Source organism: Homo sapiens, chromosome X (assembly GCF_000001405.40).
Source record: "Homo sapiens chromosome X, GRCh38.p14 Primary Assembly".
Taxonomy (NCBI): Eukaryota; Metazoa; Chordata; class Mammalia; order Primates; family Hominidae; genus Homo; species Homo sapiens.
In genome coordinates this window covers 75,375,905-75,392,311 of record NC_000023.11, presented here as the reverse complement: position 1 = coordinate 75,392,311, position 16,407 = coordinate 75,375,905, and the positions used below count along the sequence as shown (strand labels likewise).

General features: G+C 38.9%; 1 protein-coding gene and 1 pseudogene across 10 annotated transcripts in view; one reads left to right on the top strand and one right to left on the bottom strand.

The window, feature by feature from the left end:
- ZDHHC15 (zDHHC palmitoyltransferase 15) overlaps positions 1-16,407 on the top strand; it is a 154,611-nt gene that overhangs the window by 130,726 nt on the left and 7,478 nt on the right. For 3 of the 10 annotated variants that reach the window (NM_001146256.2, NM_144969.3, XM_024452342.1), the window contains one exon: positions 13,114-13,192. In NM_001146256.2, the coding sequence (NP_001139728.1) occupies positions 13,114-13,160 (47 nt within the window). In that variant the 3' untranslated portion in view covers positions 13,161-13,192. Of the gene's footprint in view, positions 1-13,113; positions 15,366-16,407 lie in introns of those variants that run through there. The other 7 variants (XM_047441866.1, XM_047441865.1, XM_047441869.1 and 4 more) reach the window with 4 other exon arrangements.
- Positions 7,449-8,006, bottom strand: RPL21P134 (ribosomal protein L21 pseudogene 134; annotated as a pseudogene).

Sequence of the window (16,407 nt, the reverse complement as noted above, 5' to 3'; positions counted from 1 at the left end):
ATGTGAAAAGAGAGACTGGCCTAGCCTCCTAGCCTACATCTTTCTCTAGTGCTGGATGCTTTCTGTCCTTGAATGTTGGACTCCAAGTTCTTCAGTTTTGGATCTCGGACTGGCTCTCCTTGCTCCTCAGCCTGCAGACAGCCTATTTTGAGACCTTGTGATCATGTGAATTAATGCTTAATAAATTCCCCTATAGATATATTCCATTAGTTCTGTCCCTCTAGGGAACCCTGACTAATACAAACTGTAAGGCTTGCAATAATATAACCCATTATTTTAAACTGATGACAACACTAATTGCATAAACAAACAAAGATAAAACTAATAAAAACTGCAAATGAACTTCATCCTCATGCTTTTAATTTTTTTATGTCTATTTGTATCTTATTGTACTGCCTATGCCTTCAAAAGTTGTTATAGTTATTTTTGATCAGTTCATCTTTTAGTCTTTCTACTCAAGATATGAGTAGTTTACATATCACACCTACAGTGTTACAATATTCTGTGTTTTCTGTGTGCTATTACCAGTGAGTTTTGTACCTTCAAATTTGTATTTTTTGCTCATTAACATTCTTTTCTTTCACATCAAAGAACTCCTTTTAGCATTTCTTATAGAACACTTCTGCTGTTGATGCTTCAGTTTTTGTTTTTCTGGGAAAGTTTTTATTTCTCCTACATGTTTGAAGAATATTTTTTGCTATATATACTATTCTAGGGTAAAAAGGGATTTTATTCCTTCAACACTTTAAATATGTCATGCCAGTCTCTCCTGGCCTGTGAGGTTTCCTCTGAAAAGTCTGCTGTGAGATATGTTGAAGTGCCATTGTATGTTGTTTCTTGCTGCTTTTAGGATCCTTTCTTTATTTGTCACCTTTGGAAGTTTTATTATCAAATGTCTCGATGTAGTCCTATTTGGCTTAAATCTGTTTGGTCTTCTATCACCTTCTTGTAATTGAATATTAATGTCATTCTCTAGGTTTGGGAAATTCTGTCATTATTCCTTTGAATAAACTTTCTACCCCTATCTTTCTCTCTACCTCCTCTTTAAGGCCAGTAACTCTTAGATTTGCCAGTTTTAGGCTATTTTCTAGATCTTGTGAGTGTGCTTTTTTCTTTATTCCTTTTTTTGTCTCTTCTCTGTGTGTATTTTCAAGTAGCCTGTCCTCAAGCTCACTAATTCTTTCTTCTGTTTAGTCAATTCTGCTGTTAAGAAACCGTTTTGCATTCGTCAGTATTCAATTGAATTTTTCAGCTCAAGAATTTCTGCTTGGTTCCTTTTAATTATTTCCATCCCATTTTAAAATTTATCTGGTAAGATTCTGAATTCCTTCTCTGTATTATCTTGATTTTCACTGAGCTTCCTTAAAACAGCTATTTTGAGTTCTCCTGTCTGAAAGGTCTACTATCTCAGTCTCTCTGAGATTGGTCATTATGCTTAATTTACTTTGTTTGGTGAAGGCATCTTTTCCTGGATGGTCTTGATACTGTGTCTGTTCATCAGTGTCTAGGCATTGAAGAGTTAGATATTTATTGTTGTCTTCACAGTCTGTGCCTGTTTGTGCTTGTCCTCCCTGGGAAGGCTTTCCGAATATTCACAGGGATTTGGGTGTTGTGATCTAAGTCTTTGATCATTGCATTATATGTACATTTGGTGGCTCCTCAAGCCCAGTAATGCTGTGGCTCTTGCATACTCATATAAATACCATCTTGGTGGTGTTGGATAAGATCCTGAAGAATTCCATGGATTACCAGACAGAGGCTCTCGTTCTCTTCCCTTACTTTCCCCCAAACAAACAAAGTCTCTTTCTGTGCTGAGCTGCCTGGAGCTAGGAGAGGGGTAACACAAGTGCCCCTGTGGCCACCACCACTAGGGCTGTGCTGGGTCAGCCCTGAAGCCTGTACAGCACTGATTCTCACCCAAGACCCATCATAACTACTGCCTATATTCTCTCAAGGCCCTAGGGCTCTACAATCAGCAGGTTGCAAAGCCAGCCAGGTTTCTGTTCTTCCCTTCTGGGTGGCGAATTCCCCCAGGTTCCAGGCAGTTCCAGAGATGCCATCTGGGAGTCAGCACTTAGATTTAGAAATCTTAAGTATCAACCTGGTGCTCTGTTCCAATGTGGCTGAGCAGGCACCAAAGCCAGAAGACAAAGTCCTTTTCACTCTTCCCTCCCCTTTCCACAAATACACAGTTATCTCGCTGTGGCCACTACTGCCCCAGGCCCACAGCACCTACTGCCTGGCTACTGGCAATGTTCACTCAAGGCCCAAGGGCTCTTCAATAAGGGTATGGTGAATCCTGTCCGATCTGGGACTCACCCTTCAGGGCAGTGAGCTCCACTCTGGCCCTGGGTAGGTATAGAAATGCCATTCAAGAGTCAAGGCCTAGAATTGGGGAACCCAAGAGCCTGCTTGGTGCTCTTCCTCACTGTGGCCAAGCTGGTACCTAACCTGCAAGTCAAAGTCTCCTTTATCTTCCCTTTGCTTTTATCAAGCAGAATGAGTCTCTGCTCATCGTCACCATAGCTGTGCATATGTTGGGTGACACCTAAAGGTAGCATATCTCTGAATCTCACCCAAGGCCCATGGTAAGTACCGCCTGGCTACCTCTAGTGACTATTCGGGGCCCAAGGGCTCTTTAGTTAGCAGGTGATAAATCCTGCAGGACTGGGTCTTTCACTTTAATACAGCATGTTCCCTTCTGGCACAGGGTGTGTCTAGTAATGTCACCCATGAGCTAGGACCTAAAATTGAGGCCTCAGGACTCTTCCTGGTACCCTATCCTACTGTGGCTAAGTTGGTATTCAAGTTACAAGACAAAGTCCTCTATTCTCCCTTCTCCCTCCTCAAGCAGAAGGAAGGAGTCTCTCCTAGAGCTGCAAGCTGCACTGCCTGACGTTGTGGGAGGGGTTACACAAGCAATCCCTTGACCACCCTGGCTGGTATCTCACTAGGTCATGTGTACCCCACATTCACTGGCTTCGAGCCCAGCAAAGCACCAGGATTTGCTCAGGAATTGCAGTCCTTGTGCCCTAGACTGCCTTTCAAGTTTATTTAGGACCCCAGAGCCTCAGCTTGCAGTAGCGGTACTTTCTAGAACTCAGGTTCTGACCACTGGGATTGGCATTTCTTATCTGATTAGGGCTTGTCTAAATGTTCCCTCTGTGGGCACCAGCTGAGTTCTGCCCAGTATTGCTTTCTGCTGTGACAGGGCAGCACTGAGTTCCAACACAAACTGCCACAGTCACTGCACTCTCCCTCTCCCAAGTTCACAGAGTCTGTCTCCATACCATGCAACCACTGCTAGGAGATGGGAGAGGGGTGGTGTAGGCAATTCAAGACTGTCTTCCCTACCCTCTTCAGTGCCTCTTTCCTTAAAATGATGTTGAAACCAGGTACTGTGATCTCTCACATGATTTTTGGTTCTTATGAAGGTGCTTTTTGTGTAAGTAGTTGCTCAATTTGGTGTTGCTGTGGGGAGGATGATTGGTGGAGGCATCTATTCAGCCATCTTGCTCCACCCAGTCTCTTCTATGCTTTTAATTGGAGAATTGAACCTATTTACATTCAATGTTGTTATTGGCAAGTAAGGACTTTCTACTGCCCTTTTTTGCTTGTTTTCTGGTTGTTTTGCAGCTCCTCTCTTCCCTTCTTTCTTTCTTCCTTTGTAGCTGTGTTATTTTCTCTGGCATTAAGTTTTAATTGCTTTTTATTTTTAGTGAATCTATTACAGGTTTTTGCATTCTGGCTATCATGAGGCTTACCAAAAAATATGTCATAGATGTAACAAGTTATTTTAAAGAGAGGACAGCTTTTCTTAAATCACAAAGAAAATAATAGAAACAAAGAAAAAAATTCTACAATTTAACTTCATCCCCTCTACGTTTTGATTTTAATCATCTCTACTTATGTATTTGTATACTACCTATCTTTTAACAGGTTTCTTCAGTGATTATTGTTTTTGATAGATTTGTCTTCTGGGCTTCATACTAGAGTTTTGAGTTGATTACACAATTAAAGTAGTAGAGCACTCTGGGTTTGTCCATGTACTTAATTTTGCCAGTGGATTGTATACCTTCAAATGTTTTCTTTTTGCATTCTTTCAAATTGAAGAGCTCCTTTACCATTTCTTGTAAGATTGGTCTGGTGATGGTTAATTCTCTCAGCTTTTGTTTATCCGGGAAAGACTTTATCTCTGCTTTATTTTTGAAGGATAACTTTGCTGGATACAGTATTCTTGGATGACAGCTTCCTGCTCCCTGCCCCTCAGTAGTTTGAAAATGTCATCCTACTCCCTCCTGGCCTGTGTGGTTTCCATTGAGAAGTCTGTTGCCAAATAAATTGAAGCTCCTTTATATGTTATGCACATCTTTTCTCTTGCTGTATTTAGGATCTTCTCTTTGACCTTGACCTTTGAGAGTTTGACTATTATATGCCTTGGGGTAGTTTGACTATTATGTGCCTTTGAGGTAGACGATTTTGGTTGAATCTTTTGGTGTGCTCTGACCTTCTTATACCTGGATATTTATCTTTCTCAAGTTTTGGAAAGTTTTTGTTATTATTTATTGAATTATGCTTTCGATCCCCTTGCTCTTGCTCAACTCCCTCTTGTACACAAATAATTCTTACGTTTGATGTTTTGAGGCAGTTTTCTGTATCTTGTAGGTGATCTCTTTTCCTTTTCATTCTTTTTCTCTCCTTTATTTTCAAAAAGGTTTTCTTTGAGCTCACTGATTCTTTCTTCAGCTCCATTTTGTTATTGAGAGCCTCTAATGATTTTTTTCAGATTAGCAAATGTATTTCTAAGTTTCATGATTTCTGTCTGATTTTTTCTATTTAAATTTTTTATTAACTATTTCTGATAAATTTCTGAATTGCTTCTCTGTGTTGTCTTGGAAATCACTGAGTTTCCATAATATTGCCATTTTGAATTGCTGATCAGAGGGCTCAAATATTGCTGTCTCATTAGGGTCAGTCACTGGTTCCTTGATTTGTCCATTTGGGAAGGTTATGGTTCCCTGTTCAGTATTACTTCTTGTGGATGCATGTCTGTTTTTGCATTGAAGAATTAGTTATTTATTCCAGTCTTCTCTGTCTGTCTTGTTTTGGTTTTTATTCATTATGTTTGCTTAGAGATTATTTGTAATTTGCCTGTTGGATTTCAGTTTTTTTCCTCACTAGGTCACTGTCTTCTTTTCAGTAGTAGATGGTGCCTTAAGCTCTGTTTTTCCTAGGATCTAGTAAACAATGGGAGCACTGCCCATCCAAAATGTGGAAACTTCCAAAGAGGAACTGTCAGTTTTAATTATATGACCTCTATCCATTAGGTGTAGTTCCTTTATTTCCTAGTAAGGAAGGTAAAATCAGTTTCTCTCCTCACTGAGCTCTTCTTTCAGCCTGGTTTGAAAATCCAGTAGAGAGCTCCAGGTCACAATCAAGCCCCGGGGTACATGATAATTATGCATAGCTTATTCCAGTTACTCTCTATCAGTATAGTAACCATGACAAGAAAAATAATTTAAAAAGAATCCAGCTGGCCAGGTGCAGTGGCTCATGCCTGTAATCCCAGCACTGTGGGAGACTGAGGCTGGCAGACTGCTTGAGCCCAGAAGTTTGAGACCAGCCTGGGCAACATAGTGAAACCTCTTCTCTATGAAAAACTACAAAAATTAACTGGGTGTCGTGGTGTGCATCTGTAGTCCCAGCTACTCAGGAGGCTGAGAGGTGGGAGGATCGCTTGAGCCCAGGAGGTCAAGGCTGGAGTAAACTGACCACACAACTGCACTCCAGCCTGGGCAACAGCGTGAGACCCTGTCTCAAAAAAAAATCTAGCAATAAAAGAACTGAACTTTTCTGAACTAAACAGCGGCTTTTCCCTTGAGCTAATGTGATAAATTGCCTCTTTATTTTGATAATTTTTATAGAATATATCCTAGAAGGCATATTTTTATCAAGTAAAGGTATAATACAAAAATAAAAATTTTCTTGAGTGTGCTAATACAACCTTCCAGTGTTAATGATAATCAGGACTGGGGGGAATTAATCTCCTTCCTGTGAAATGCTGAACACTTGTCCTGAAAAAATACTGACATCAGACTCTAGTATATTCAATGTTTTATATATTGTGGCCTATTTCCTCTTTTGTTATTTGGATAAAACTTTCTTTATATGACACCCATTAATACTGCCCACAGTAGAAGAAATTTCTGATTTATTTTCAATCTGGTACTTTATGCTGCCATGACAAATAACCTGTTAGAAAGAATAACAGAAAAAATAAACTAATATTTATTGAGAGAATATTAAAGTTATGAGATTGGACCCAGAAGGGGTGTTCAGGCAATACAATATATTGTCTCAGCTCAAGGGTATTTTATTTATTTGGGGAGATAAGATACATAAAGTTCCCTAACAGAACACAATACAGGATACATTATTTGCCAAATGATTAAAACCATAAAATTTGTGCTATAAGAATTCAAAGGAAAGGTGATTTGCTGTGGGCCAGGGTGGTCAGAAAAGGCTTTAGATAAGTAGAATTTGGACCTTGAAGATTAGATAGGATCTAGATTGGTGGCAAGGAATGCAGAGGCCAAAGGTAAAAGGAAAGTCACAGGTTGTAATGCGCAACACCCCAAGCTAAGTGAGGGGGACATGAAGAAAGTAGCCTGACTCCAGTAGAAATTTTGGGCAGTAAGGGAATAGATGGGAACTCATTAAAATAAGAGAACTCATCATCTTTATTTCAGTATTCTCTGCACCTCTTTCAAAACAGGGTTACATGTAGAAAATGATTATTAGATTAATTCAGCAGGTAAATTGGTATCAGTTTGGGTGGGACCTTAGACGTAAGACTAATAAGTTTATTCTGTGAGTGATGGGGAACTACTGAAGGTTTTTGAGCTGGGGCATGATGTGAAGGAAATGTTTCAGGAAGATGAGGAAGTGATTCTCCTATCAAAGCACACTTTCATCCTATGCCAGAGATTGCTGTAATCCCTGGACCTTCTGAGAGGATTGGTGAGAGCCCTTCTCCTCATCAGAATTCAGACTCTCCAAGTACATCCTATATACAAGAGCTCTGGTTCAGAGATGAGAGGCCTTTCACATCAAAAATTTTGTTGTTTAGAAGCATCTGTGGGTGACATTCTGTGCAATCACCTCCCAGTCAGAGACAATGATTAACTCTTGCTTGAAGAAAAAATTACTTTATCACTTAGTTCTTCAGACCTAACCAGACCTGTACGATTATTCCTAGGAATTTCAAAACTGCCACAGGACTTAGACAGAGTCATAAGTTAAATTCATGCCTTCTACCTCAAAGAAAGTACTTCTTCAAGGGTACCAAATTGCCCTTATGTATTTCCATGCATATTGGCGATAGTAGATAGTGCCAATGATGGAAGAGTCTTTAATCTTAGTCAATTATTTACCATCTTTTTTTTTACAGCCCAGATGTCTTTTATTTATTTTTTAACACCTATTATGCCATAAATTCATAGAGAATAGGTTCCAGCAGCTCAGGCTCCTTCCCATTGGTTCTCACAAAGTGTGCTTCTCTGGGTGGAGCAGGCTGGCACTTTAGTTGAACACAGGTACCTTTCTCTTTGGCTTATTTCTTTCTCTGATCATTTTCATTCATGCGTTTCAGGAAGCTATCTCGGCTCTTAGAGTGCTTAATGTGCTCAATACGCACATTAATTCTCTTGGCAAGAATCTTGCCCTTAACTTGTTTGTTTACAACAATGCCAACAGTATGCTGGGTAACATTGTAGACTCTTCCAGTTTTGCCATGGTAACACTTGTGGGGCATTCCTTTTTGAACAGTACCCATTCCCTTGATGTCTACAATATCACCTTTCTTATAGATTTGCATATACGTGGCCAAAGGAACAACTCCATGTTTTCTAAAAGGCCTAGAGAACATATATTGGGTGCCTCTCCTCTTTCCCTTTGTGTTCGTCATTTTGGCGAATTACTGGAAGATGGCGGTTCCAGCCAAAAGGGCATTTACCAGCTTTCTATATAGGAATTCAAGATACCTTGGCCTATACTAACATTTTACCAGTGTATTCTTCACATGAGTTGTATACTTTTGATTACATATTTGGGATGATTAGATAAGTGGATGTTTTCCAAAAGCTTTTTTCTCTTTTATTCCCTCATATGAGGAATGAAGAGGCATTACCATTCTGGGGTAGGATGGCTGTCTGGTTGACCAAGTATATAATAGGAAAAAGGAGAGAGAATAGGGAAAAACTAACATTTCTGGCCGGGTGCGGTGGTTCACGCCTGTAATCCCAACACTTTGGGAGGCCGAGGCGGGCAGATCACGAGGCCAGGAGATCAAGACCATCCTGGTTAACACAGTGAAACCCCATCTCTACTAAAAATACAAAAAAAAAATTAGCTGGGTGTGGTGGGGGATGCCTGTAGTCCCAGCTACTCGGGAGGGTGAGGCAGGAGAATGGCATGAACTCGGGAGGCGGAGCTTGCAGTGAGCCGAGATTGCAACACTGCACTCCAGCCTGGGTGACAGAGTGAGACTCCATCTCAAAAAAAAAAAAAAAAAAAAACCTAACATTTCTTAAATTTGGGGTAGTGGGGGTGATAAAATACATACGTGGAAAGCTGCCTAACAAAACACAATACAGGATATGTTATTGGTCAAATGAATAGAACTATAAAGTTTGTGCTATCAGAATTCAAAGGATACAATGATTTCCCGTGAGTTGATTTGGTCAGAAAAGGCTTCACAGAGGAGGGAGAATTTGGGCCTTGAAGACTAGATAGGATCTGTATTGTCAGAGAGCAGTGCAGAAGCAGAAGGTATAAGGAAAGTCACAGGTTGTAGTGCACAAGACCCCAAGCTAAGTGAAGAGGACATGAAGAAAGTAGCCTGGCTCAAGTAAAGAATTTGGGGACTAGATGGGAACTCACTGGAGTCAGAAACATCATCTTTATTTCAGTATTCTCTGCAACTGTTGGAAAATAAGGTTGCATATAGAAAATGATTGTTAGATTATTTCAAAGTGTGCAACTAACATTTGTTGAATGCCAATTATGTGCCAGGTATAACCACTTTGTGAGTTGTAAACATTAAATAACCCCATTTTGTAGATGAGGAAACTTAAGCTCAAAGAAACCCAAAGTCACACAGCTAGCAAGTGACAGATCCTGGCTCAAAAGTCCAAACTCTTTTAACAACTATACCACCCAGTATCTCTCCTTTGTTCCTGTTTACCTTTCAGTTTATAGATCTTTTAAGGACCACTTGAAAGAAAATTATTTTAGTTCCTGTACCTCTTTCACCAGAAAGAGAAGGTGTAAAAATATGGATAGAGCTCTAGCATGGGAAGCATCTCCCACCTCTGCCACTAAGTTCAATGCATGACTTTTGGAAAGCCTCTTCTCTCTGGACCTGTTTAAATTCCATGATCTTTAAGCTATCTTCAATTATAATATCACATTTTGATACCACCTTACACTGATGGGACAGATGTCAAGCTGACTAACCTCAACCTGATATCTTTCACCAAATGGCTCCAAGCTCAACCTGATATCTTTCACCAAATGGCTCCTTTACTTTTTCAGAAGGAATGCTATTATAATCTAGAGGCCACTGTAAACATGCAAATTGATTCATCTTCCACATTATAGAACCAAATTTCTTTCTTCGTGTATTCTCTCGATATACACTTACTTGTTCCCTCTTAACACATCTGCCCTAACATTTTGGCCACATGCCTATAAACAACCTGTTCATACACTTGTCATTTGCCTTTTTATGAGAGTAGGAATCCTAGGCCTCATTTCTGAAAACATCAAACACAATACACTGGGTTATAGAAGGGTACTCCTTTGGGTAGCGAGACATTTTCCAAGTAACTTTTCCCCCATGTTTCTAGATAAGAATGTATCCATACTCTCAGCTCTTGGAAAACTTACTTCATGCAGTAATATCATGGATGTTCATTTTATTCCTTTACCTTTGTTGTCAAACCCTAAGCTCTAAATTGGTGTGTGTTCCTGAAATAACGCAAGTCTCTAATCAATCAGTTCAATTCATAAAGCATTTCCTGAAGGTACATATCAAAAGGTCCTGTGGAGGGACATAGAGGTAAATAAATGGTGGCCTCTGTCCTCAAGGAGTTTGCAGTTGCAGGGAAAGACAATCTAACACAAGACTTGGTGTGCTCATTGCCATAAAAATGGTGCTACTAATTACATACCTAATATAGGCTTAGCTCTGCATTAAGCAATGTGTGATACATGTGGGAATTGTGTGATTGTTAGTGATGTTTAAACCTGAGTATATCAGTAAAGGGGGGAAGTGGGCTATTCTGGTGAGAGTTTTGAGGATGAGGCAAGACTTAAGCTAGATGTTATTGGAATGAGAAACATAAGGATAGATGCGAGGAAGAAGGAATTAGCATTCCAGGAAAGTGGGCTATTCTGGTGAAAGTTTTGAAGATGAGGCAGGACTTAAGCTAGGTGTTATTAGGATGGGAAACATCAGGATAGATGCTAGAAGAAGGAATTAGCATTCCAGGTCAGAGTTACAACATGAATGTGGTAAGAACACTGAAGCATAGGGTGGACATTGTGGTTGTGGGCTACAGTCTTAGAGAGGTAAGATACGGCCAGATGATAGAGGGTTTTATAGACTTGATAACATAGAAAATAGCTATTAAGTTTATGATCTTGAGTGATATATTGATATAAGGAAAGGTTAATTTTAGAAAGATTACTTGGGTGCTAGTATGCAGGATGGATTGAAATTTGGAGAGACAAGAACTGGAAAGAACAGCAAAAAACTGTGCATGTGTTGCAATGGATTCATGAGTGGTAGTAACACTATAAATTGAGAGGAATGATCAAACCCAAGAGACATTTTAAGTATCTGGAAATAGTCCCACTAACTAGAGAGATCTGGGAGTCATTTGTATAGAGATGGCAGTTAAATCCTTGGAGGTAAAGAAGAATCAATAAGGAGAGAATAAAACTAGGGAAGAAAGATAAAATGTAAAACTAGTAATCACCTAAGCAGTGTTGACATGCATCCACATGGACAAGGAAATAAATGAGGAAGAGAAAGCCAGAGGGTCAAGAATAGAACATTACACAATGCTCATAGTTTGGGGTAGAGTATCCCAAAAATACTATGAATGAAAGAGTATTGCCCCTATTTTACAGATGAAAAAGCTGAGGCTGGGGAGGTAATGCGACTTATATAAAGTCATAAAGCAGTGGTGACTCAACCTAAGTTTTCCCAGACTCCACTGTGTCATTTGCTCTGTTCTTCCCAATCTCTGAGAACCAATGGCTAGAAAGAAGTGTACCTATACTGCCAAAGTCACTTCACATAGCATCAAGGGTTTATGTGAGAACCTAGAATTTTAAAGTAAAGGAGATCTAGGAGAAGACAGGAAGAGAGCCAGAGCTTAACCAGCACACACTAAGACTAAAATAACATCATTCTTGGTTCAAGTAGACATATATTGAGTAAGTGAAATCACTACTACATAGGCAGCAAGGGCAGGTGTAGTTGGGGGAAGGAGTATAGGTGCAGATGGTAGGAGGTGAAGGTGAATTGACTCCCTAAATTCTGTGTTTGTCTTCTATTACCCAGAGCCTGATTTTTTTTAGGTATCTTCCTTTTTTAATTTAGTCCTCACCCGGTGAGCTACCTTTGCAACCTTAGCTTAATCTTATCCTGGGAGTGAAACCAAAGTTGATAATTGGGTTTTCAGCTCAAGCCTCAGTGTCTACAAGAGCAGGATTTTAATTCAAATAATTGCTTGGAGGAAAAATTTTCTGTGCCAAATAAGAGTGTATGTTGCAGTACGAAAAGGTAAAAGCATCCTAAAAGCAGAATCCAAACAGCCAACTTTTGGAAAGGTTCATCACCAAACCACACCTAAAAATTCTGAAATAGCCAACCATCAGCAAGGAGTGAACATTGAAAGAATTAGCATCACTTCTTTGGAACAGCAAGGCAAGGAAATTTATTGCACTTTCAGAACTGTCTTTCACTATTTTTCAGTTGCCTTCTTAGTAGAAATGTTGGGTAGGCAAGATGAGATATATGCTTAAGCACTTGCAACCTCTTTTTCTCTTTATTTGATAAACATAAAGTTATTTTCTGTGTATCTTTCACTGAAGACCTAGGCCAATACATTTGCTTTCTGCCCAAACTTAAAGGGAAGAATACCCTAAGGCTAGGATTCCAGACAAGACAGAATGTTGGGCCTACCATAGGGTCATGATTCCAAAGAGACATTCTCAGAGCCACTTTTATTTTTCCAGTTTTCCTGGAAGAAAGCAACCTGCTGTCTGGAATCTGCCTGTTTAACTCAGTGGCATGAGAGCTTGCAGCCTTCTGTGGCAAGGATAACTCACACTGACTGGCTGGCCTCTGTCTTTAGGAATCTAGATTTCACACTTAAGAAAGCACTCTGAATGGCACATAAAAGACACTGTGCTGTGCAGAAACTGTAGGGGATGGCTACTGTCAACTTTTTAATCTCAAAATGCCAAGTATATTATTATGCTGTGAGTATGAGAAAAGTGATTACCTGTACATTCAGCAAGCTGATTCAGAGTGTGCTCTCCCAAAAGGCTGGAGGTCAGAAACAAAAACATTTGTACCATAAATGATGTTGCTTGTTAATCCCAAAGCCTCTTATTTTCTAGATACCTCATTCCTTTTTTAGAAACACACCATCACCTAAAGTACTGTAATAGCTAACTCAATTATGTCCGGTGGAATAACAGCAAAACAGGGTAATTTTGTGGGTAGCAAGATGCAAAACATTCCATTAAAGTCAGATTATGTTGAGCTGTCATCATAGCTATTTAAGTCAAATACCAGCCAGTATTATAGATCAGATAATGCTGATAAATAATCTTAGTTCATAGTATAGCAGGCTGACTATTCTTAGAATGTGAATGTCTGGTTACAAATGCTTCTGTGTTACACATCAGTCTTTAGAGGTTTGCAGGTATCTGTTGCCTGCAGAGATTGAACAAGAAGGAAAACTGCCAGTGAATGAATACCCACCCATATAAGGCACGGGGACATTTGATCATCTTCACGTTTCAACCTTGCAGATTATCCAGAAGGCTCATCATCTCTTGCTGTGGAAACGGAAACATAGCAGTTTTCACATTTCCTGCATCTCTCAGACAGGTCAGTATTCTGAGGGAGACACATACAGTGGCACCTGGACTGCTAAGAAGGCGGCTTGGGAGAAGAACTAGAAAAGAAATAAGTTCTTATCCTGGGTGAAAAAGATTTTAAATTCTTCACTCTTGTAATGCATGCATAAGCAGAAGTTCTATACATAATTTCCCTTGGCAGTGTGCTGAAAAAAAAGATGCCCTTATTCCCTGCAAACTCACACTTATGTCACTTGTGCTGAAAAAAACTCCGGGGATCCAGACACCCAAACATTCCGTTAAGGTTATTTACTCTCATACTGTGAATTATAAGCCTCCTCCTGTTTCATTCCAGGTCTCTGAAATGGTACAGATTACAAATAGCTTTCTTTTGCCTGACTCCATTATGTCAGTTAATAACCTAGTCTTCCCCACTAAGGGCAAAAAAGCATCCTTCCTACACTGTAACCCTCCTAAAATGCTATGAGTTTGTTAAGTAGTGGCAGACAACTTTACACATGGGATTCTCTTTGGCCTGGTGAAAAGCTCGACGACCTTCTTTTTGCAACACTCACAGGTATAAACCCAGTGTAATTAAATATTAAAAGAATGTTAGTAATAGAAATACCATAGAGCTTATAGCTCTGATCGGATGAAACTTCTAATCCTATTCTCATGAAAAAAGCTAGCAATTATTCAGAAGCTTACAATCTGTTCGTGGGTTCCCAGGTCTTCAGTTCTTTCCCTTACAGAAATTCTGCTGTGTACAAGTGTACATATTGTATAAAACTTTGTATATGCCAGCCACTTTGGTGTGTACTTGATATATATGATCTTATTTAATCCTCACATCAACTGTAAGATGAATGTTACTATTCCCATTTTACTTATGAGAAAACTGATATGCAGAGAGGTTAAATCACTTATCCAAGTCTGCATATGTAGTAAGTGGCCAACCTAGGGTTGTAACTCAGGTCTATCTGACCTCAAAGCATGCTATTTCCACCATGGCACTACATTTCAAAATCTGAGTTATTTGTGATGTGTCTTTATTTATTATCAAAGATTAAAAAAGGAGAGAACCAAGTCTGTTTCCTTATCCAAAGCCCTGATGAAATGTTTGATGTTTAGGTAAGACAACTTATATGATAGTAATATCTAGATTTGGGTTATCTGTGGTGCTAATCTGTCTATTTTATTTTAGTATTTTCCTAGGGGAAACACTACTACTTTGGCATGGTAACAGATGTTAAAGGGAAGAAAAATTATCTGGTAAATAAATTTATAAAACCCTATATAAGCAAAATTAGAAAGTTGGCTTTAGTGTAGGAATTCTCAGGGGTTTTACTACACTATTGAGTTTTGTGGCTCACCAAAAGGAGGTTGTAGTGGTCCCTTAAATTTTATTTAACTGTTGGATCCTTTCTTTTTTGTGCCTATCATGGAACCTAGTATTTCGTGCAATACTTATCAGGACCATTAATATGCTAAGGAACTTTGAAATGCATTTTTTATATACTTCCCTAGATAAGCAAAATTGCCTTCAAGCAATGCCTTATGCCTTTTACAGGGCACTCTGTCCAAATATATTAATAAAGTGATTCATTTTGTGGAAATCACAAACTCATATATACATATATATATATTTTTTTTTTGAGATGGAGTCTCACTCTGTTGCCCAGGTTGGAGTGCAGTGGAGTGATCTCGGCTCACTGCAACCTCCACCTCCCAGGTTCAAGTGATTCTTCTGCCTCAGAACCCAAGTAGCTGGGATTACAGGTGTGTGCCACCACGCCCGGCTGCTTTTTGTATTTTTGGTAGAGATGGGGTTTCTCCCTGTTGGCCAGGCTGGTGTCTAACTCCTGACCTCAAGTGATCTGCCCACCTCGGCCTCCCAAAGTGTTGGGATTAGCCACCGTGCCGGGCCTCATATTCTGATAATAATAGAAAAGTACTTGGGAACACAGGAGGGAAGAGTGGGAGAAACCTTTTAAAACTTATTAAGATATGAAGAATTGTTTAAACTGTATGTAGATAATTACTACAGTGATATTTGTAAAAAGCTCCAAACTGAAAACAACCTGAATGTCTATCAGTAGAAGAATGCATTAATACATTATATATGTCCAAGTAATTAGATATTTAATATATATTTCCCTTCATTTTCTTTTGAAGTTTTTTAAATAAAAAAGGATGAAAGAAAACATGAATCCCTTGTGTTTAAAATGTAGAATCAATGCTAATTTTTTCATTTTGCCTCTAAATTTTGTATATAAAAAATTATTGCCATAATTTTTACCCCAAAAATGTACTTATTCTAGATTATATTTTCTTCAAAATGAAAAGACAAACTTGAAAAATATTTGCAAACTATACAACACACAAAATTTAATATGCTTAATTTACAAAGCTCTTGCAAATCAGTAAACAAAAGAAAAACACAACAGTTAGAAAATGGGCAAAGCAACAAAAGAAAGCAATGAGGAAAGAACTCTCTATTCAATTAATGGTGCTGGGATAACTGGCTAGCCATATGCAGAAGACTGAAACTGGACCCTTACTTTTCTCCATATGCAAACATTAACTCAAGATGGATTAAAGACTTAAATGTAAGACTTCAAACTATAAAAATCCTAGAAGCAACCCTAGGAAATACCCTTCTCAACATTGGCCTTGGCAAAGAATTTTTGGCCAAGTCCCCAAAAGCAATTGCAACAGAAACAAAAATTGACAAGTGGGATCTAATTAAACTAAAGAGCTTCTGCACAGCAAAAGAAATTATCAGTAGCAAAAACAATCTACAGAATGGAAGAAAATATTTGCAAACAATGCATCTGACAAAAGTTTAATATCCAGAATCTATAGGGAACTTAACAAGCAAAAAAAAAAAAACAACCCCATTAAAAATGGGCAAAGGACATGATGAACAGACGTTTCTCAAATGAAGACATACAAGCAGCCAACAAACATATGAAAAAAAATGCTCATCATCACTAATCATCAGAGAAATGCAAATCCAAACCGCAATGAGGTACTATCTCACACCAGTCAGAATGGCTATTATTAAAAAGTCAAAAAATAACAGATGCTAGTGAAGCTCCAGAGAAAAGGGTATGCTTATACACTGTTGATGGGAATGTAAATTAGTCCATCCACCGTGGAAAGCAGTTTCAAGATTTCTCAAAAACACTTAGAACTGCCATGCCACCCAGCAACCCCATTACTGGGTATATATACCCAAGGAAA